General features: G+C 35.7%; 1 protein-coding gene and 1 long non-coding RNA gene across 5 annotated transcripts in view; one reads left to right on the top strand and one right to left on the bottom strand.

The window, feature by feature from the left end:
• Positions 1–22,478, bottom strand: part of NELL1 (neural EGFL like 1) — a 906,136-nt gene that overhangs the window by 654,563 nt on the left and 229,095 nt on the right. For all 4 annotated transcript variants that reach the window (NM_001288713.1, NM_201551.2, NM_001288714.1 and 1 more), the window contains 2 exons: positions 2,870–2,942; positions 1,790–1,872 (listed from right to left, as the gene is read on the bottom strand). In NM_001288713.1, the coding sequence (NP_001275642.1) occupies positions 1,790–1,872; positions 2,870–2,942 (156 nt within the window). The remainder of the gene's footprint in view (positions 1–1,789; positions 1,873–2,869; positions 2,943–22,478) is intronic.
• The window catches only part of LOC105376585 (uncharacterized), a 46,166-nt gene that overhangs the window by 5,673 nt on the left and 18,015 nt on the right, over positions 1–22,478 (top strand). Inside the window, exon 2 of the long non-coding RNA XR_931106.3 lies at positions 17,753–17,861. This is a non-coding gene — a long non-coding RNA (uncharacterized LOC105376585). The remainder of the gene's footprint in view (positions 1–17,752; positions 17,862–22,478) is intronic.

Genomic DNA, 22,478 nt, shown 5'->3' with positions numbered 1-22,478 from the left:
GTCTACACATAATATCCTTGATTTTGCCTCTTGGCTTGCAAGGCCCAAAATTTACTAGCTGGTCCTTTACAGAAAAAGTTTGCCAATGCTTATTCTAGATGATCATAGATTTCAAATTACACAGCAAAGATGGAAGTACTCAGTTTTCAAATTGTAATTCTATATACTGTTTGGAAGGAACAGACCTAAAAATCTGCCAAAGTGCCAAAGGGAGGTTTAGAAGATGGATTAAAAAATTTGCTGTTTGCAACTGCCCACAATTAAATACCTACCTCACAAAGGCCCATTTTACACAATAACGTTTTGAGAATAGAGCTCTCTGTGGCTCCTAGATGATGTGTGGCTAAAAAGAGAAAAATGACATTCTCTGCAATGGGAAAGAATGAGAAAGCAAACGACGCCCTCGAAGCTGGAGAATGAAGAACCACAATCACCTGAGACAGAGTGGCATGTTTCTTGTTCCAAAACTTTGGTAGCATGCTAAAATATAATTAACAGTATTGAGATCAAGCTGCTCCAGACAATATGAAATAAAAGCCTCTCTATAACACAAGCTGGGAAGGTAAATAATCACCTGCGTTTCACATTCCCACTATACTCTGAAGCGAAAAGCTAATGCTTCAGATCTGGGCCTCAGTCTCAATTGTTTTCTTACAAAAGTTTTCCATCTCTCCTTTCCAGACAAAAAGGGGTTTGCCTTAGCCAAAAACCCAGTTTGAAATAGAAACATTGTCTTCAGCAGCACAATCCATGGGTCCAAACTATAGCCTTATCTTGCAAACACTTATCTACCCACCAATTTTTTTGCACATGCCATGGCTGATGGTAGGGAGCAGTCTTAGCTGCAGGTACAATAGGATTAATGTATCATTTTCATTGTTATTAAAATTCTTCTTTTGCAGAGTATAATGTCTCTTAGGCCCAACCTAATTCTTTCTTCGCCCTAGGCTGGAACTCATGTCCACAACTGATTGGTATCATAACAACAGCATTAGCCATATTTTCTATATTTTCAGTGTCTTTTTCAACAAGGCTCAGGGCTTTTCATTATGAATATACACTTTATGAATATATATTAAAGCCCTTAGTTGTTTACACATTTGGCTCCGCCACTCAGTATGAACATATCTAGGGTAGAAAGCGTGTCTTTTTCACTATTGCCTCTTTGTGCCTAACACAGTGCCCAGCAAACGGCAGGTCCTCAAAAGATGCTTGTTAAGTGGATGATGGAATGGAGAGGAGGAAAAGGTGCGGAATTATAAAACCGAAGGTGTTGAAAGGCAAACTTTGCCTCCTTTGCTATTTAACTCAGGACCAGCCTTGAAATAAATTATACATTAAAAATGTAATATAATGCCTTCTTTTGACAGTAATCTGTTCCTAACAATAGCTATTTTGCCCCTTCCGATTACTGGCAATTATTCTTACATCCAAAATGCATTAGCTTATAAGAGCAGTGGCTCTGACCATAGATCATCTTACAGTGTTACTACTTTAATAGCCAATAGGAAAATTCCTTTTCCACTCCCATGGAATCTACAGTGATACATATTGCCTCTTGCTTCCAAGCATTTTTCAAGTAAACATTATGATACAGCTTAATAGCATCAAAGACAGGAATGGTTATGTTTACTATTGGTAGTCCTATTTTGAGTAAGAATAAAACATTTTTGTAGTAACATATAGCAGATGCCGAGGCTAAAAATGTTTCCATTATAACATATCACTCCAAATTCCAGATAGGACAGAAAAAGAAATGAAACATCACAAATGAAATTTAGATACCTACTTTTGCAGTCATCTTGGCCAAAAGCTCTTGTAAATCCATTATTCCTTGCACCAGGCTTAAGAAATCACTGCAGGTTGGGCAAGCTCAATAAAGAAAATATAAAACATATATATTTATATTGTGCTAATATAAGAAATAAAATTTTAAAACAGTAGATACGTGACTATGTAGAAGAGTTTTTGGGGTTTTTTTGGTTGACATTGCTTTGAAATTTGAGTGAAATCACAGAGGATTTCAGGTCTGGATCTTTTCCTACTTTAATAAGCAAAAAGAAAGGAACAGGAAAAAGGCATTGTTAACTAAAAAGAAAGGCAACATGACATTTTAAAGTTAAAATTAAACTCTCATTTTTATAGGGAGGTAACTTAAAAAATGTGAAGTATCATAGAAGAAGAAAAAGTAAACTCTCATCCAGGTCAAGAATCTTAAGGAATAGTTTTTAAAAATATATATTAAACATATCTTTCTATATCCACCTATAGAATCTGCTAATGTAACCCTCTTCTTTTCAAATTTTAGTTCAATAAATGATATGGGTTGGCTGCATCCCCACTCAAATCTCATCTTGAATTGTAGCTCCCATAATTCCCACATGTGGGAGGGACCCAGTTGGAAATAATTGAATCATGAAGGCAGTTACTCCCATACTATTCTTATGGTAGTGAATAAGTCTCACAAGATCTGATGGTTTTATAAGGGGTTTCACCTTTCACTTGGCTCTCATTCTCTTTGGCTGCCACCATGTAAGATGTGACTTTGCTCCTGTTTTGCCTTCCACTATGATTGCGAGGCCTCCCCATCCATGTGGAACTGTGAGTCAATTAAACCTCTTTCCTTTATAAATTACCCAGTCTAGGGTATGTCTTTATCAGCAGTGAGAAAACGGATTAATACAATAAATGATACATATTTTTTTAAAGACACAGAATTATATAATGTAGATAATAAGTTCTCTTTCACTATCTCCAGCACCTCAGAAGTCAACACTGTAAACAATTTGGGTCTATCTTTCCAGATGTGTTTCTCTGATACAATCAACAAGTTATATAATATATCACAATGCTTTAAGTTGCTACTTACTGTGATTTAGATTTGGACACTGTGTTATATATCCATTCGGCATAAAGATGATCTTCCCATCTTGGATGATCCCCTTGATAATAGAAGAGACAGGTGGCAATCAAGATTACAGTCACCAGCTCAAATGTCCCCTATGCAATCACATACTCTTGGCAGGTCAGATTATTTTTCAACAAAATTGATTCATTCAAAGGGTGAGCTGGCCTTAGTATATACTGAACTACTCTAAAGCATCCTACTTTAGGAATCTCAAATTGTACATTTATGTGGAGAAAGCTCCAATTAGTTACCACTAGTTAATGCCAATTATAGATTATAACACCAAAGACACATCAGTAAAAAGCACTGATTCAATAAAAATTCTCCTTAATGCCCTAATCATCCTGGAATATTAAATATTGCTGATTTACAGGATTTTTTTAAAGTGGGAAGAAATATAATAGAAACATATTACGCTAAAATTTTTCTACTGATTCATTTAGCGAAGGAAATAAAATTAGACATTGGGAAAATTCCATAACAATCCTTGCTCTTCAACTAATTGAGTAACATGAGTCTTTGTTGATGAGTCTTAAGAGTAAAAGGTGGTCTTTTAATTCTGTAATTCAGTCTGGAAGAATAGCTCAAATTTAAGAAAGTCATCAGGGCTGTCATCTCTCAATGAAAATATTGACTTGACTTTTGAATTTTTCAAGTTGAATTTCAAGATTCTGTTGTTAGGGTTTTTTCTGATTTGATGGCAGAGATATTACAGAACAGATGGAAGATGTAGAAGCTGGTTCAGAATACTGAGCTTATTCTATAAATAAAATATAGACTTAAGAGAGTGCTGCAAGTCTTTCAGAGGGAGTAACATTTAACATATATGTGCTTATCTTCTAAACAGCAGAAGGCAATCAGCAAATGCAGTTTTTGGCTTATTATTTCAAGAAAAAAATATTAATTGGAAATATTAATAGAAATAACAGGATCACAGCACCTCTTCCACAGAATTATATGTTTATTAACCTCTTCCTCTTCAAGGATGATGCAGTGTTTGCGATTATGAGAGAAGACAGCCTCCCCATGGGGAAGAAGTTTCTGCCACTGCTCCTCAATATTAATTCATAATCTCTTGCAGAGGAATACCAGGGAGCAATTAATGGAGCACAATCTAAATGAATTAACTTCTCTCTGGGATGAGATTACTCAGTCTTTCAAAGCAAATTAACTCTTTGAGAGGCTATCACACCTTCAAGCACATGTGGCAATTTGAGACAAGCATGGATTAGAAGTCAGGGAACCTGGTTTCAAGTTCTGGATCTGTCTCCAGCTAACTGCACAGACTTAGGCAATAAGTTAGCCACCTTCTATGAGCCCCAGTTGCTTCATCTGGAAAAGAAGTGCTAGATGAAAAACCTAAAGATCCACCCAGCACTCATGTTCTAGGTCAATGAAACAGGCCTCCAAACTGAAATTGTCACATTTTAGACATCTATGCTTTCATTACTTTTCAAATAATAATAATAATAATAAAAGAATGTAAACAGACAAAACTATAGATTTCCATCTTATGGATTTCCTGGAACATGGAAAAATTCAGCGCTAAAACAGAGGCTCCTAGGCAAACCAGGACAGCTGGTTACCCCAGGCGATGCAGAATTGGTGGAAGTATATGTACAGAAAAGGATAGGATCCATACCTGTTCATCAGAAGACCCTAGATTATTTTTATTTTTATCATCCATGGAAAAGGGTACCCAGAATCCTGGAGCACATGTGTCATGGTGTTAAATACCTTTCCAAAACCAAACTGAAAACTCATTTTAAAATAATACCCCATCCCGCTAATCCTAAAGCAAGAAAATACAGCACACAGCAGTTTTCCTTTTCCTTTTCAAGTGATCTTACTCATTTTAGTGACATTATGATTTACAAATCACCTGCTCTCACACCTTTCCTCTATGGGCATCTCTCCTTACTTCCCTGTCTTTCCACTTTTAATCTGTGGTACCTGCGTGTGTATGTTACATAGATCATTAGGTGAAGGTCAATGATGTTGACTTGAACAAAAAACAGAAATAAAAGCTGACAGCTTCCCAATGCTCATTAACACAAAAACCCAAAGCACTTGGTATTTTTTATAAGGAAAGGTCATAGAGGTGAGCCCACATACTGGCATGAAAATGTGTTCTTACCAAATGAATCAAGATGGGAATGTTAATTTATTTGAATGGTTGTAAGTCAATGCTGGATTAAAAGAAAAGTGGTGATACCCTACAGATACCACTTATAATCTAAAGATGTCTGAGTGCATGTGTGTGTATGCATGTGACTACACACATTTATGTATATCCCAGCACCTTCCCCAGAATAAGAATCAGAAGGTCTGGCATTAAATTGCTATATGGACAATTTACTGCCAGGACATTTGCTGATAAAAGAAGCATTTGCTAAGCATGTAGTTTCCTTCATAAAACTACAAAAGGGATTTTATAATGCATAAAACTACAAAGGAGCTCAATCAGCCTTATTCCTCTCAAAAAAAAAAAAAAAAAATATATATATATATATATCATCTATGAGGATTTCCACAGATGAAAATGTGCCTTTCAGCACTACAACTTCTCCCAAAGGAGATAAGGGATAAAAAGACAAAATTTTTATTATTTCTCCTCATTTAACTCTAAATGTATCTACATTTAACTGAAAAATGCAACTCTATCTGGGCCTGTATTAGCTGACCTCATTTGATCTCCTTTTTTCAGACATATGCTTTATTTCATATTATTCATTTTGGCAGTGTTTCTCAAACTTCAAGTTCCTGAGAATCACCTTGAGTATCTGCTTAACATTCAGATTCTTGTGTCAACCCAAAGGATCCTGTTTCAGTAGGATTGGAGTGGGCCCAGGAATATTCATTTTTTAAACAAAACCTCTTCCAGATGATTCTGATGAATGGTAAAAGGACCTCACTTTGAAAAATTCTGCTTTATTGTCAACCATTTGCTTCTTTTGGAGCAAGAGCATTTACTCATTAAAAGTTCACAATGGTTAAAATTATTGCATCCAACTCATATATAAATAGAGTAAAATCTTACTGATTTGGAACTGAATAAAACCCAACAGAATTACTAGACTGTATTATAAACACCAAAGATAATAGATTTTCATCTTAGTATCCCCTGAAGTTCCTATTGTAGTAGATTTCACATAGTAAACACAATAAATATTCTAAAGCATCAAATTATTGAAAACTATGAATTATACAATACTGAACCACATAATTTTGAGCACAGTTAGGATCTGTGAAGATCATGTGGGGCAATAGTTTTTAATTTAGGGTATATATCAGAATTTTGGAAGAGGTTGAAAGAACAGTCATGACTATTTTGAAAACTGTCTGAGGTCATTTTGATACTTTCCATAAGAACTACTTATCTAGGACCAGATTACCTGGTCATATGACCTATGAGAAATTTAAGGCTTTGATACTCTAAGTAGCTTTTCTAAAGGATACCTTAATCCTAGGCTATATACTACAGGGCTACTAACTCTTGAAAACCAAAAATAAAGTTCTAAGCCCCCAACCATCTGAATGAACCCCCTTCTCTCCGCCAAGGGCATTCCAGAGTTAACCCGGAAATCTAGTTCAGACCATGATGGAAAAGGAGTTGAACATGCTTCATTAAACCTCTCCAGCATTTACATCAACACAGACCTTAAGTCTAATGATACACATTTACAATATATTCTCCCTGAAGCCTGCTATTTAGAGGCTTCATCTGCATGATAAAAGCTTCTTCTCCACAACCCCTTATCAGAACCCAGACATTCTTTACTACTGATAACGCTTTCAACCAATAGCCGATCAGAAAAATTTTAAATCTACCTATGACCTGGAAGCTGCCACCCTTCTGGTTGTCCTACCCTTCCAGATCAAACCAATGTAAATCTTACATGTACTGATGGAGGTATTATGTCTCCCTAAGATGTATAAAGCAAGGTATACATGAGGACCACCTTGGGCACATGTCCTCAGGACCTCCTGAAGTTGTGTCATGGGTGCATCCTTAACCTTGGCAAAATAAACTTTTCTAAATTGATTGAGACTTGTTTATCATTAGCTAGAGACAGATCCAGACACTTTTCGATTAACACTCCAAAACCAGTGCTGGGTCACTACAATATGCTGTAGGTAAAAATATATAATTTAAGGGATCCCCTTAACATGAACCAACAACATGTTGCTACAAAGAGGTCTTGTTATCAAAATGAGATTTTATCTTGATTGCCTTAATAGATAGATACCAATCAAACATGCAAAACTATTTGTATTAGATAATAATAATTTGCTAAGACAGTTTTTCAGTGCTAGAAAACAGAAGTCTTTTTAGGTAGCCTAATATTCTTCCCCCCATCCCCCCGCCCCCCGTAATCTTATTTACACTATTAATTTGCTAAACAATCCATTTTCTTATTGTTAGTGTAATGATGAACCTCAGCTGATCTGAGGCCTTAAATAAATCCCTAAGGTGCAGAGCCCAAAATTAATAAGCTTACTATTTAGTACGGATGGACGGCAGAAAAATGGATTTTTTTTCCTTTTGTTTAATCCACCTGTTGCCACCCTGTACCTCCTGCTGTCAGCTCACCATGCACTGAAAAATAAATTTGCACCAGGTACATTGTATATTATGGATTTTTAATGTTTAGGGAACTAATGCCCATTATTTCTATTATTCCTAGAACGTTTCTCATTTTGCATTAAGAAATATAGAAAGATGCAATTAAAAAATTAGAAAATTATCCAATTAGGTCCCTCTTGTGTATGGAATAACTAAGATTAAGCAAGCTCTTCTAAACATGCAGAGCTTTCTGATACAAACAAAAGCAGCTTCACCACCAAACAAATGCTAATTCTTTTTTAACGCTCTTATTTCCCTGCAGATCTCTGTTTACATTGAAGAAAATGGTTCTATTTTTTTGTATGCTAAAATACTGAAACAAATTGCTTTGAAAGAGAGAGGAAAAAGGGGTGGGAGAGTTTCCTGCTGGGCATGTAAATATATGGATGAAGATGTGTTCTGTTTATAAACTGGCAGGGACTCAAGCTTTGGAAACAGGCTAACAAAAAGTAGGACCTGTAAACTCACAGGGAGGGTTTTCAAAATGCAACCAATCATGTACTTCTGCCCTGAAGACGTTAATAAAATATTCCAGCATGCAAAACCGCCAAGAAAGACACTTGTCGACTTTCATTATGATCAATAAAAACTGTCAGCTCATTAGCATATCATTAGCTGTCCTGCTGTTTCCAAAGTCTTAATGCACAGAAATATTAATCTTCAAATGTGTAAGATTCCCCAGTTCTGTGACTTTGACTTTCTGCATGAAAGGAAAAATAAGAATTAAAGATGGGAGGCATCCAATATAGCTTCTTTTTCAATGTGCCTATAAACATATGTTTACCATCTGTGGAATTATGGGAAGCAGCTGAGGTAAAAACGACAGCTGTGGAATTTTTAAAAAGTTGTAATCAATTTCACTTCCCAGTGACACCTCAGCTGTTAGAGGAGACAGTGATGTCCAGGTAAGGGAAAGGTTTCAGACCCAAGTTCACCAGACAGACACAGAGACAGAGAAACAAAGACAGGAGAGCCTTGGCCTCTGTGAAAGGCTTTGGAATGAAGTCTCCCTGAGGCCTCAACTATTTAGAAACTGTCAGAACACTCAACCCCTGAAGCATCCTTATAACTTATTTTGGTTCACCTCGGCTCATTTTTTTATTTTTCACCCTCTGAAATTGTAACAGCATAATCAGCTCAGAATGCATCAAAGGGAAATTGAGTGGGTAATCAACCATCCTGATAATGAAAATCTATGACAATCAGAAGATTCAGATAAGCCTATCACTACTGGCCAGCTTTTCTCAAATGGATGCTGTTTTGAAGTGAAAAAATTCCCAGCTTGTGTTCTGTGTCTCAGACAGGAATTACCTAATGCTAGAGGCTTATGTACCAGGCACCAAGCAAGTGATTCCATCCTCTGCTATTTAATCAGCAGCACTTTTTTTTGCACTATCCACAAGGATCCACCAGGGTCCAGAAATTAGGTTTGACAAGTGAGGAGCTTTTGCTTTTACTTTGCCTATAAAGGCAACATAATAATATTTAAAATAGAGAATAATGTTATTTTAACCTGAAAGCACATCACAAGCATTTTTAGTTCTGGAGCAATTCAGCAGATGTGGTTGTTGAATCCATGAGGCAGCATGTACAAGATAAATATTAAAAGCCTGGAGCTATGCTGACTCTCACCTGAGAAGTGGCTGCCTCTTTTTCAGGGAGATTTTTGTAGTGTTGAATTGATCAAGAGGTAATTTCTGTAATGAGACACTGACATATTTCCCCTACCCCAGCCATTTCTTCTCATAAAAGGATGGCCAGAAGCACTGCCTGGCATCCAGGATTCTAAGGAGAAGATGAGTTTTGAAAGCTGCCCCATGGAAAGTATCTTTGTAATGAGCCATTCCATGAGGCCACTCCTATTAGGAAGCAAGAAGAACCGCCTTGCTCTCTAGGAAGATGGACTGGGTGAAATTGCCATCACCTTTTGATGTTTCCACTGGGATCACCTATTCTTTGAAGCTGGAAACCCAGAAAAAGACAAATTCTGTCTCCTGATGGTACTTGGTGTACCACATGTAAATATCATGTCTCCTTAATCAACACAGTGGTAACTGTGGAAACACAGGGTAAGCCCTTAATAAATATTTGTTGAATGAAGGAGCAAAGACTTTGAAATCATAAAGACCTGGGTCTAAATCCCATTTCCATCACTTCTGGGCTATATAAGGTTGGCAACTTACTTAATCTGAGTCCAATTGCCTGACCTACACAATGGGGATAAAAATCACTAACTTAGTAGGATTTCTCTGAAGGTGAAATGTAATTAACTGAGATACTATATGCAGGGCCAAAGTCTGTAACATAGGAAGTATTCAATAACTGTTGGTTCTGTCCTCTACATTCCCATAACCCACCTCTGCAGCAAAATGATTGTCCAAGTCTCTGAATGTTCTTTGTGTTATCTGTCTGTACCAGGTATTTGAGCTCAAGCACAAAGTTCTTTATATCTACAGAGAATCATACACTCATCAAGCTGGAATAGATAATAGGAAGAACTGTTCTCTCTCTCTTAATCATATCCTCATAACTAAAACAGAAATTCCTAAAAGACAGGAAGAGTGCCTTCATTTCTACAGTATACAGTTAAACATACAGGGAGCATTAAATGCCAAGAAATGCATTTTTATGTGCTTAAATACTAAAAAGGGATGGAGACATGTGTTACAAATGTACTATGTGCAAGTTGCTTTTAATACATATTCTTATATAATCTGCATTTCCTTCAGGAAAGACATCTCTGGAACTTTACAAATAAGAAGATAAATTCATAACTGGTACATTCATTCATTAACAGTATATTGTCTGCCAGTTATGTACCTGGTACTTCTAAGCACTTGCTGAATGAGAGCTAGTTCTGACCCTGGTGAAGCCTACAATCTAGAAAGACCAATGATGAACAAATAAACACCCACATAAACTATACTTAGAACCTGCTACATAATTTGCAGAGTCCCTTGTTCAAAATTTACTAAACAATTGAAGAGGGCAACAGCAGGGCAGTAATCTAATCACAGGACCTTTCTAAGCACGGCCCCCCTGGGACTGCTCAGGTTGATGGCCCATGAAGCCAGCCCTGCCTACACTCTCAAACTGTGGTGAGTGCGGGGCCGGAAATGGAGATGTTTCAGTTGGAAAGTATGTGATAGAATGATTGCAAATTGATTCCCCATTTGTACTCACACATTTTGAACAGTGACTTTGTACACCCTCACTTCAAGAGGGGGAGTCTGTTTCCCCATCCCTTAAGTCTGGGGCTAGTCTTGTGACTTGCTTTGATCAGTAAAGCACTGTGGAAGTGATGGTGTGCCAGTTCCCAGCCTAGGCCTCAAGGGTCTTGTGAACATCTACTCTACCTTGAAACATTGCCGAGCACCACGGGAACAAGCCCAGGCTGGCCTGTTAGATAATGAAAGACACATGGTCCAGTCGTCAACATTGCCCCAGCCAGGAGTTAATCACCATGGCACTGAGACTATCCCAGTTAAGTCAGCCTTTGGCCAACTCCACCAGCCAGCTACAGGCATATGAGTAAATCTAGAGGGGATCAACCAAGACCGATCCTTATCAACACAATTTTTGAGCAGACCTGTGAGCTTACTGACATAAGCCCCTGAGTTTTGGGGGTTTGTTGTGCAGCAATAGCTAACCGATATATGCAGTAATGGTGACGGACCTGCAAAGAGAGGGTGCTCCAGGAAAATATCCTGCACATGTACCCTAGCACTTAAAATACAAATTATAATTAATTTAGAAAAATAAAGAAGACAACATTTCAAACAACCGAATGAAAACTGTCCTGGGCACAAGCAGGTGAAAAGGCCCTGTTATGTTCAAGGAACTGTAAAAAGAGTAGTGTGGCTGAGGCATGGTGGGCAGAAGAGAAAATGGCATGAGAGAAGGTTGCAGAGGACAGCAAGGACCAGATCTTACGCTGGTTTGACATGCAATAGAGAGTCACTAAAAGAATTTAAGCAAGAGAGTAACTTCATTGGCTTCAAAAAGCAAAGCAACACAAGTTCAACAGCTATAATAAAGAGGTATGTTCAGGATTCAAACTCAGATCTCCATCCCTTGAAACCAAGATTCTTCTTCCCGGCCCTGGAGTTCTTGTTATGTTTCTGTCTAAAGCATGTCTCAGAACCAGCAGCATCACCATCACCTGGCAGCTTGTTAGAAATGAAAAGATTTGGGTCCCAACCTAGGTCCACTGAATCAGACTTTGGAAATAGGACCAAGCTACCTGTTTTGTTTTGTTTTTTTAAAATTTTCCATTATAAACATTTTAAGTGCACAATTCAGTGGCATTAAATACATTCACAGTGTTATGCAACCATCACCACTATTAATCAAACTTTTCTATTGCCTCAACAAAAACTCTGTAACCATTAAGCAATAACTCCCATGACTCCCGCCACCATCCCCTGTTAACCATTAATTTACTTTCTGTCTCAATAAATTTGCCTATTTTTGATATTTCATATAAGTGGAATTAAAGAATAGTTGTCCTTTTGTGCATGGTTCCTTCACATAGCATAGTTTTTAGGGCTTATCCACACTGTAGTACGTATCAGAACTTCATTCCTTTCTTATGGATGAATAATATCCCACTGGATACATATACCAAGTTTTCTTTATCCATTCATACATGGGTAGACATTTGGCTTCATTCCATCTTTTGTGTATTTTGAATAAGGCTGCAGTGAACACTGACATACAAGTGTCTGTTTGAGTCCCTGTTTTCAATTCTTTTACCTATAAACCTAGGAGAGGAATTGCTGGATTACATGTAATTCTGTGTTTAAATTTTTGAGGAACCAACAAACTGTTTTCCACAGCAGCTGCGTGATTTTATTTTTTAACTTTTTTAATCAAAATTTTATTTTTACTTTAAATTTTATTTTTAAATTTTACTTTAAGTTCCAGGATACATGTGCAGAATGTGCAGGTTTGTTACATAGGTATACGTGTGCCATGGGGGCTTGATGTATTATTGACCTGTCCTCTAAATTCCCTCCCCTTTCCCCCATCCCGCAACAGGCCCCAGTGTGTGATGTTCCCCTCTCTGTGCCCATGTGTTCTCATTGTTCAACTCCCACTTATGAGTGAGAACATGTGGTGTTTGGTTTTCTCCTTCTGTGTTAGTTTGCTGAAGATGATGGCTTCCAGCTTCATCCATGTCCCTGCAAAGAACATGATCATGTCCCTTTTTATGGCTGTGTAGTACTCCCTGGTGTATATGTACCACATTTTCTTTATCAAATAGTCTATCATTGTTGAGAATTTGGGTTAGTTCCATGTCTTTGCTATTGTGAATAGTGCTGTAATAAACATACGTGTGCATGTGTCTTTTCAGCAGATTGACTTATATTCCTTTGGCTATATACCCAGCAATGGGATTCCTGGGTCAAATGGTATTTCTGGTTTTATATCTTTGAAGAATTGCCATACTGTCTTCCACAATGGTTGAACTAATTTACATTCCCACCAATAGCATAAAAATGTTCGTATTTCTCCACAGCCTCACCAGGATCTATTGTTTCTTGCCTTTTTAATAATCGCCATTCTGACTGGCGTAAGATGGTATCTCATTATCATTTTGATTTGCATTTCTCTGATGATCAGTGATGTTTAACTCTTTTTCATACGTTTTTTGGCCGTGTAAATGTCTTCCTTTGAGAAGTGTCTGTTCATCTCTTTTGCCCACTTTGTGATGAAGTTTTTCTCATAAATATGTTTAAGTTCCTTGTAAATTCTGGATATTAGACTTTTGTCAGTAAGTAGACTGCAAAAATTTTCTCCCACTCTGTTGGATGCCTGTTCACTCTGATGATAGTTTCTTTTGCTGTGCAGAAGCTCTTTAGTTTAATTACATCCCATTTGTCAATTTTGGATTCTGTTCCAATTGCTTTTGGTATTTTCATCAAGCTACATGATTTTATATTTCCACCAGCAATATACAAGAGTTCCAAATTTTCCACAACCTCACCAACACTTATTTTCCCCTTATTTTCTAATAGGATGGGAATTTTATTTAAAAATTATAACTGGTGGGGTATGAAGTGATATATTATTGGAGGTTTAATTTGAATTTTCCTAATGACTAAAGATGTTGAGTATCTTTTCATGTGCTTATTGGCCATTTGTATATCTTCTTTGGAGAAATGTGTATTCAGATCATTTGCCCATTTTTCAGTTGGGTTGTCATTTTGTTCAGTTATAGGAGTACTTTGTATACTCTGGACATTAAATTTTTATAAGATACATAATTTAAAAATACTTTCTTCCTTTTTTTGGTTTTGTTTTCACATCCTTAATAATCTCTTTTGATGAAGAAATTTTTTTTTTTTTTTTTTGAGATGGAGTCACAGAATCCATTGTAAAATGCAAGCCCATAGATATTTACCTCTACTTTTTATTCTAAGATTTAGTGGTTGTAGCTATTATATTTAGAATGTTAGTTGATTTTGAGATCATTTTTATATGTGGTGTGAAGTAGGGGGTCTAACTTCTATACATAGAATCATGGCATCTGTGAGTAGAGATAGTTTTACTTCTTTTCCAATTTGAATGCATTTACTTATTTTTCTTGCCCATTTGCACTGGCTAGAAATTCCAGTACAGTGTTAAATAGCAGTGGTGATATCTTTGCCTTGTTCCTGATTTTAAGAGGAAAACTTTGAGTCTTTCACTATTGAGTATAATGCTAGCTCTGAGTTTTTCATTAATGCCCTTTATTACGTTAAGAAAGTTTCCACATGTTGCTCATTTTCTTAGTGTTTTTATCATGACAAGATATTGGATTTTGTCAGATGCGTTTTCTGTGTCAATTGAGATGATCCTGTAGGGCTTTTTTTCCTTTATTCTATTAATGTGGCATATAATATTGCTTGACTTTTCTTATGTTAAACCATTCTCCTGGGATAAATCCCACTTGGGCATAGTGCATAATCCTTTTAATACACTGTTGGATTCAGTTCATTTGTATTTTGTTGAGAAATGTTGCCTCTACATTCATAAGAGATACTGGTCTGTAATTTTCTTTGCTTATGATGTCCTTATCTGCTTTGGTATTATAGTAATTCTGACCTCATAGAATGAGTTAGGAAATGTTTCTCCACTTCAATTTTTTGGAAGAGTTTAAGAAGGATTGATGTTCATTCTTGTTTGAATGTTTGTTGCAATTCACCAGTGAAGCCATCTGGTCCCAGACTTTACTTGATTGAGAGATTTTTGTTACCAGTTCAAACACTTTACTTATTATAAGTCTCTTCAGATTTTCTAATTCTTCATGATCCGGTCTTCTTCATGATCCAGTCCTGGTTGGTTATGTGTTTCTAGGAATTTGTCCATTTCATCTAGGTTATCTAATTTGTTTTCATATAATTATTCATAGTCTTCTATTTTAATCCTTTTAATTTCTGTAAGGTCAGTAGTAATGACCCTACTTTAAATATGACAACCCATTGCCTTCTGGTCTCCATGGTTTCTGATGATAAATTTACTGCTAATCTCATGAAGAAGTCCTTGTATTTGACAGTCATGTCTTGCTTTCTGCTCTCAAGATTCTCTTTGCGTTTATCTTTTGATGGTTTTATCATAACGTGTCTCAGTGTGGATACCTTTGAGTTTATCTTACTTACAGTTTGCTAAACTTCTTGGATACATAGATTCATATATTTCATCAAATGTTAAAAGTTTTAACCATTATTGTTCCAAATTTTCTTTCCAGTACTTTCTATCTTCTCCATCTGAGACACCCCCGGTGCATACATTAGTCTATTTGATAATGTCCTACAGATAGATCCCTCAGGCCTTGTTCATTTTTCTTTATTCATTTTTCTTTTTGCTCCACAGCCTTGTTAATTTCAATGATCTTATCTTTAAGTTCCATTACTCATTCTTCAGCCTGCTCAAATCTTCTCTTGCATCCCTCTAGTAAGTGTTTTATTCCAGTTGTACTTCTCAGCTGCAGAGTATCTGTTTGGTTCCTTTTTATAATTTATATCTCTTCATTGATATTCTCATTTTTTTATACATCATTTTCGTGACTTATTTCTTTATCCATGTTTTCATCTAGCTCTTTAAGCACATTAGAGACAGTTATTTTAAAGTCTGTACAGTAAGTTCAACATCTGTGCTTCCTCAGGAATAGTTTCTATTCATTTATTTTGTTCCTTTGAATGACAATACTTTCCTCTTTCTTTGTTTGCCTGTGACTTTATTTGAACACTGAACATTTGGATGTTATAATGTATTAACACTGGAGAACAGATCTGCCCCTTTACTGGGGTTTGCTGAGTTTTGTTTTTCTTTGTTTTTTATTGTTGAATACTACAGTAGTCCATTTCTTTAGTGGCTTACCAAACTATTTTTGCAGAGACTGTATTTCTAGTCATGTGTAGTAACTGAAATCTCTGTTCCTAATCTTATGTTATAAAGTATTTTGGGCCAGGCAAGGTGGCTCACACCTGTAATCCCAACACTCTGATAGGCTGTGGAAAGAGGATTGCTGGAGGCCAGGAGTTTGAGACCTGCCTGGGCAACACAGTGAGACTTTGTCTCTGTGAAAAAAAAAAAAAAAAATTAAAAATTAGCCAGGCATGGTCACATGTGCCTGTAGTCCTAGCTTCTTAGGAAGCTAAAATGGGATGATTACACGAGCCCAGGAGGTCAAGGCTGCAGTGAGCCATGATCATATCATTGTCCTCCAGCTTGGGCAACAGAATGAGACCCTGTCTCAAAAGAAGAAAAAAGAAAGAAAGAAAAAAAAACTTAAAAAAAAATTTTGACAGGGATTTCCTTGAATGTCAGCAACCAAAAACAAGAAAGAGAGAGAGACTCCTCCAACCTTTGCAGATTTTCTCCGTGCTGGGACCCTCCTTCAACACTTAGCCAGGCTTACACTGATCCTAGGGATCAGCCAAAGATGAAAGCTTTGGGTGTTCTCAAGTCTTTTCTGACCTTACCTCTTGCCCTAGGCATGCATATGGCTTTCTAAATTCCTTGAACACACAGGTGATTTTGAATGTTCTAATTGTCCAAAGAAACCCTTTTTCCAGCATTTTCTCTTTGCTTTACATGATCTACTATATGTCTCAACCATACTCTTTGGCCCCAGGCAGACACATGGTGTTTGTTAGATTTGAAATGTTTTCTTAAATTAACACATAATAATTGTACCTATGTATTGGGTACATTTGATATTTGGTACGTGCATACAATATATAATGATCATATCAGGATAATTGGGATAACTGTCACTTCAAACATTAGTTATTTATTCGTGTTGGGAACATTCCAAATCTTCTCTTGTAGCTATTTTGAAATATGCAATAAATCAATGCCTGCCACTTTTTTCTTTTTTTTTTTATTTATTTATTATACTTTAAGTTTTAGGGTACATGTGCACATTGTGCAGGTTAGTTACATATGTATGCATGTGCCATGCTGGTGCGCTGCACCCACTAACTCGTTCTGAGTTACAAGTACCTTTTATCAGTTCTTCACATAGTCCCAGATAGTTAGAATAGATATGCAAAATAATTTGTGAATAAGGTCTGCTCTGCTCACTCCACAACCAGAGACTGTTGTCCTACACTAGGAACATGGGCTGAAATCTTTCAGGACTGCCACTGGGTTATAAATGGTATGGTACAAAAGGCAAGTAAACATGCCTCACAGCTTTCCTACTGTTTTAAGGTTGCCTTTTTCTTGATTCAGCATTCACTCGGTTGCTATAAACCTCTGACTATTTTCCTAAGTTCCAACAAAGTTGGTTCTGACAATTTCTGCTTGTTTTTCAGTGTTTCTGTCGAGAAACAGCAGCTTCAGGTTTTCTACTCTAACATTTTGTTGACATCCAGCTACTTGTGTTTTAACAAGCCTTCCAGGATATTTGTATGCAATCTAAAGTTAGAGAACAACTAATCTAAAAAGTCACTAATTAGAAGCTAATTACTGACCATATGTTAGATTTGTGGGCTCCTTATAGAGATAAGGCAAAACCATAATCTAGGCCATCAACACATATTTCCTGTATGTCAGTGCACTCAAATTTGAGCCTTCAAACTGAATAAATCAAAACCAATAAGAAGGTTGTGAAAAAAATGTGTCAGTTCTTAGACCCTACTGTTCAGATTCTCAATGAGGAGGTCTAAGTGTACACAATAATTTGATTTTTAAAGTCTTCTAATATGATTTTAATGTCTTTTCAGGACTGAGAACCAGTCATTGCCCTTCATTACAGATCCAGGACCCACAAGAAAAGGAGAGCTTCACCAGGAAGTAACTAGCTACAGAACAAGACACACCATTGCATTGAATGTGAGTTCAGTTTTAAACTGAGACACTTGGATGAATTTCTGTTCATTCTTGGAAACATGGCAAAATTATATACATATACATATATACACACACACATATATACATATATTCACATATATATGTGGATTATCACCCTGAAAAAGTATGCCATTTTAAACATTTTGAATATTTATGATGTACAAAACAACATATAGCAAACACTTGAGAAATAAAATATCCTCAATATAGTTGAAGTCTTCTGGGTTCACAACCCTAATAAAACTCCCATTTCCTCCTCTCAGAAGTAAACTATTCTAAATTTAGTGTTTATCACTTCTATGCATTTTTCTTTGTATATATATGGATGTATCAATAAGCTGTATATGGAATTATCTTGCATTTTGAAATATATACATGATTTAATACTGTAATTTTATCCTTCTGCTAGCTTTTTCATTTAAAATTACTTTAGCAATTCATCAATTTTTGTTCAATTTCACTGATTTTTATGTTTCTATGTCTCTACTACAACGTATTTAAACATTCTCCTATTGATGGACAATTAGGTTTTTTCCAAGTTTTTGAAATTACCAAAACAAAAAAAAAAGTCCTGTGATGATGCTTATACATATATACCTGGGTATATGACCAAGAGTTTCTTCAACGTTTATACCAAAGAGTTGGGCTCCTATGTCCAAATGTATGCACATTACAAGGATCCCCAAATTTCCCTCTCTATTGGTTCCACCAATTCAAGTTTCCAACACAATGGGTAAGAATCCATTGCTCAATGACTTCCCCTACACATAGCATTGTCAGATGGTTTTTCACTTTTGCCAGGCTAATGGGTGAAGAAATGGTTTTTCATAATGGTTTTAATTTGCATTTCCAAGATAACTAGTGAACTTGAATTACTTTCAATATGTTCACTGGTTATTTATGTTTTCTACTTTGGAAAACCATCCTTCTATATCTTTTGTCTGACTTCCTATTGAGTTAAAAAAAAAAGGTTTCTTATTGATTTGCAGCATTTCTTCAATGAATACTTTTTTTTTGCTAATTGTTGTCAAGATCTTCCTTGATGTATTGTCACACTTTTTAGAATTTTATGCAGTAAACCCATCAGTATTTTCTTTAAGGACTTGTGCATTTTTTTATCTTGTCTAAGAACTTCTCTATCCTGACTGAGATCGTGAAGATATGTTCTTATGTTGTCTTCTAAACCTTTCAACATTGAGCTTTCAGTTAGGTATTTAATTCAATTGTACTTGTAAGTGATTTTTATGTATGGGGTCCAGGTATATATTTGAAGCTTTTCCTTATACTGTACACAAAAATCAATTACATCACTCAATGTCTGTGTCTATAATATATATATAATGTTTTTAAATAACTGATTTTCCTAACCATGTATTGATGAATCCATCCTTTCCTCATTGGTCAGGAATGCCACATCAGTTATGTGTCAAGTTTCCAAGTTTCCACACATGACGAAAGGGTCATTTCTGGCCTCTCCATTCTGATCTCTTGGTTCATGTGCTGATTAATGCAGTGATATCACACTCTGCTGATTGCTATAACTTTACAATAAGCCTTCACATCTGGATGGCTAAGTCCCTTCCTTTTTCTCCCTCAGAAAATGTCTTAGTTATTCTTGGCCTCTGGTCTTCCCTAAAAATTTTAGCATCAGCTTGTCAGAGTCCATCAGGAAAAAAAAAAAAATCCTCTTGGGAACTGATTACAAGTTCATTGACCCTAGAGAGCAATGTGGAAGAAGCAGACGTTTTTATTATTTTAAGCCTTCTTCTCCAAGAACATAGCGTACTTCTCCCCAGTTAGGTCTTCAGTGGTTTTTCATAAAATTTCATAATTTTCTTTATAGGTGTCATGTATATATTTTATTTGATTTGTTCCTATTTGATTCACCTTTTGATATTATAAATAAAATATTTAATTGCAGTTTTTGTTATTGCTGTTGCAGCTGCCACTGTGCTGCTTTTGCTCAGCAATGCAATTGATCTTATCTTTGGCTTTACATCTAGTACTCTTTCTGAACTCTCTTGCTAATTCTAATAATTTGGTGATCATTTTTTATATATAGGCAATATATAAGTTAATAACTACTTTTTAAATTATAATCCTTAAGATTTTTACTTATTTTGCTGGTAAGAACCTCCAGTACAATGTTGAATAGAAACACTGATAATAGTCATTCTTGTGTGGTTCCTGATTTTAACAGGAATTCTCTTAATATTTAAACCGTAAGTATGATATTTGATGTATGTTTACTTCATGTACTTTTATCAATTTAATGAAGTTTCCTTCTATTTCTAGTTTGCTAAGAATTTTTAATGAGTCAGTATTGAATTTCTTCTAGTGCCTTTTCTGCCTCTTGAGAAGACCATTGGATTTTTTTCTCCTTTAATGTAGTCAATTTCATTAAGAAATTTTCTGAAGATAAAAACAAATTTTCACTATTGAAATAATCAACTTGTTCTCTCTCACACACCCAGACACACACGCATACATACACTCTGCTAATAAACAGGTTGCTAATAATATTTTGTTTAAATTTTTTAATCTAATCTGTTCAAAAGTAAATTGGCTTAAGCAATTCCCTTCTCATACGGTCCTTGTCTACTCTGCAAATCAAGGTGACCTATGCTCATAAAATTAGATGAGTGGTATTCTCATTTATTCTCCTCTCTGGAAGAGTTTATTTAAGATTGGAATTATTTCCTTGGATGTGTGCTACAACTCCCCTGTAAAACTGTGTGAGCCTCGTGGTTATTTGGTGGAGGGACATGGTAGACTGCCAGAATGATCCCAGTCCTTTGCTCCTCACTGTGTCCATACCTTGTGCAATGTGAATTTGTAGCATATCCCATCAAAAGGTCAAATCTATTTCCAGTACACTTGAATCTAAGCTGGGCTTGTAACTTGCTTTGGCCAATATAATGAAGCAAAGTAATCTAGTGCAAGTTTCAAGCCTAGGCCTCAAAAGGCCATGCACATTTCTGCTCTGACTCTTGAAACTTTATTCCATGATCATGTAAACTAGTTTGGGCTAGACTTCTGGAAATCGAGAGGCCACATGAAGCAGAGATGAGCCATACCAGCTAAGGCCATTCAAGGCCTAGTACAACTAGGCCCCAGAAACCCCAGCAGCTGATCAAAGATGCACAAATGAACCCATGGAGAATAAAATCCAGCAAAGTAAGCCCAGCTCAAATTGCTAATGCACAAAATTGTGAGGTAAATAAAGGCTGTTGTTTTAAGCCATTAAGCTTTGTTTTGATTTGCTGTATATCAAAAGCTAACTGGTACAATAGACTTTCAATCATAAACTCATCACTTTAATGAAGCTAAGACTACCATAGTTATTTGAAGTCCATTTTGGCGATTCATGTAGCTTTAGAAAACTGTCCATTTTTCTCTAATTTTCCATTTTATTGGCATAAAGTTGTTAACAAATGGTTACTACTGTTTTAATTTTTGCAGCATTTATTGTTATATGCTTTTTTTATTTCTAATATATTTATGCCTTCTCTCATTTTCTTCTTGCTCAAACTTCCCAGTGTATTTTCAAATGATCAAATTTTGGCTTTCTTGATCTTGCCTATTATACCCTACTCATTATTTTATGAATTTCTGTTCTTACGATTTCATGCTTACTATTTCATTCCTTTTACTTTCTTTGTATACATTCTGTTGTTCTTTTTCTAACTTCCCTATTTGGATGTTTAACTCATTAAATATCTACCTTTTCCAATACAAGCATTTAAAGATAAATACTGCTAAGAATTGCTTTAGCTGCATCTCACAAATTGTGATATTTATTATCTTTCTGAGTTAGTTATTAACTTATACTATTATTTTCCCCCAGACTGATTAGTTACTTTAAATGATACTGTTTATATTGCCAAACATACAAAGGTGGGAGGTTAGTTATCTTTTCACTATTTATTTCTAACGTAACTGCACTGTCATCAGAGAATATGGTCTATGTATCATTTTTTGTAATTTGTGGAGATTTCCTTTTTATGGACTTTTATGTAGTTAATTTTCACAAAGATTCCATGTGCTAGATGTGTTCATTGTTGGTAGAGTGTGTATGTGTGTGTGTATATATATATAGCCATTAAACTTGTTAAGTATGTTTAAATCCATACGCTTACTAACTTTTCTGCTAGCTTGATCTATAAGTTATTGCGAGAAGTATGTTAAATATCACTCAGTATGATGGCAAATGTATCCATTTTCCCTCTAATTACCTACTATGCATATATGTTTAGTAAACATTTTTATTAAAGAATAACATATATACAGATAGTTACACAAATCATAAAAGTACATATTGATGAATTAACTTGACATAAACACTGTGCAAGTGCCACCTAGATCTGTAAATAAAACTAGGAGACTTCCCTAGTTTTATTTATAGATTTGTGAAAGCAAATATTATTTACTTGTGAAAGCAAAAATATGGAATCACCCTAAGTGTTCATCAATGAATGAATGAATAAAGAAAATGTGATATATACAAATGGTAAACAAACATATGAAAAAATACTCACATCACTAATTATCAGGGAAATGCAAATTAAAACCACAGTGAAATAGCATCTTAGTCCTGCA

Source organism: Homo sapiens, chromosome 11 (assembly GCF_000001405.40).
Source record: "Homo sapiens chromosome 11, GRCh38.p14 Primary Assembly".
NCBI lineage: Eukaryota > Metazoa > Chordata > Mammalia > Primates > Hominidae > Homo > Homo sapiens.
This window is presented reverse-complemented; position numbering and strand designations above follow the sequence as displayed.